The 1,733-nt window shown below is 41.8% G+C and overlaps 1 protein-coding gene across 9 annotated transcripts in view; it reads left to right on the top strand.

Annotated features, from left to right (window-relative positions):
• The window catches only part of RFX7 (regulatory factor X7), a 157,803-nt gene that overhangs the window by 95,678 nt on the left and 60,392 nt on the right, over positions 1-1,733 (top strand). The gene's annotated exons all lie outside the window — the stretch shown is intronic.

Here is a 1,733-nt window from a genome sequence, read left to right as displayed (position 1 = left end):
CTGCATATGTAAAAAGGATCCTTCAGTTTCCTCAAAGGTGCTAGAGGAAAGAGTCTAATTTTTATATTAATCAGGATGGGCTAATCTATGATGTTGTAACTAAGCCTGAAATACCAGTGGCCTAACCACAAAAATGTATTTTCATTCACATCATATGCAGCAGAAATCACTGAAGACCACTGTTCCAAATAATCCCTCAGAACCAACATTGACAGGAAGGCTGACATGTTATAGCTTCACCAGTGCAACACATGGCTTCCAAGGTGCCACAGAGGGGGAAATGGGATGGGGTGACACATTGATTTTTTTTTTTTTTTTTTTTGAGACGGAGTCTCGCTCTGTCGCTGAGGCTGGAGTGCAGTGGCGCAATCTCAGCTCACTGCAAGCTCCGCCTTCCGGGTTCACACCATTCTCCTGCCTCAGCCTCCCGAGTAGCTGGGACTACAGGCTCCCACCACCACGCCTGGCTAATTTTCTTTGTATTTTTAGTAGAGATGGGGTTTCACCGTGTTAGCCAGGATGGTCTCAATCTCCTGACTTCATGATCCGCCCACCTCAGCCTCCCAAAGTTCTGGGATTACAGGCTTGAGCCACTGCCCCCGGCCGACACATTGATTCTTAACTGTCAGCTGAGTAGTGAATTACATCACTGTGATCAGATTCATAATAATCACATGACTACAAGCTAACTGCAAAGTGGACTGAGAAATGTAGGTGAGCAGATGGAATACTGTCTCTGTCCCATGTTTTCTTCACCTCTACACTTGCACCTCATAGAAAGAATTAGCTTCATGTTACTAGTTCTTATGTCAGTATTTTTTGTCAACCAAAGTTTTAGAAGGGAAGGGGGTTGCGTGGCAGGATTCAAACACCAAAGTCCACCTTCAACCTCCAAAAGCAACTTGATCTTACACTATGCCTTCATTTTCCCCTTGATCACATAATATAAAAATGAATGTTGAATCTGATTGTTTGCTACAGGCTTTTCTGTCCAGAATGTGAAAGGTCAAAGTACCATCTCAATCGTCATTAAGTTTGTAGCATTGTTGTGCTTTCATAGCTAAAAGTTCAGAAAAACCGTCTTCATAAATCTTTGCTTATGAAAATGGGATGATGACATGCAAGGTCGGCTCACTTGCTGGAAATAACCAAGGATATTTTTTGAAAATTCTCCAAAATTGTTTCCTGGAATGTGTTTGACATATAAATCAAACTTGAGTTCAAAGATTCCTTTTTAATATCTTTTTGCAAAGATTGAAGTGCATGAGAAAGAGGTCTTTTAAGTTTTCAGGCAAGATCTTCAACTGCAATAGTATGAAATTATCAGCTACCTCATTCAAAAGACTTGAATAATATTTGAGGTTCTGCCTAAATTTGAAACCGTTTTCACTAGCTTTTCTTTGAGAACTTCTTCAACTCAAGTAAGTGAAGACTTTTAAGTCTACAAATGTTGTTTGTCATTTAAGTTTCACTTCGAATCATCAGATATGTTTTCCAAATGTGCAAATCTCTGTTAAAAATTAGAGTTTTTAGGCTGGGCATGGTGGCTCACGCCTGTAATCCCAGCACTTTGGGAGGCCAAGGCAGGCGGATCATGAGGTCAGGAGATCGAGACCATCCTCGCTAACACGGTGAAACCCTGTGTCTACTAAAAATGCAAAAAATTGGCTGGGCCTGGTGGCGGGTGCCAGTAGTCCCAGCTGCTCGGAAGGCTGAGTCAGGAGAATGGTGTG

This window comes from Homo sapiens, chromosome 15 (genome assembly GCF_000001405.40).
Source record: "Homo sapiens chromosome 15, GRCh38.p14 Primary Assembly".
In the NCBI taxonomy this organism is placed as follows: Eukaryota; Metazoa; Chordata; class Mammalia; order Primates; family Hominidae; genus Homo; species Homo sapiens.
Note: the sequence above shows the minus strand (reverse complement) of the source record. Positions and strands in the feature narration are given on the sequence as shown.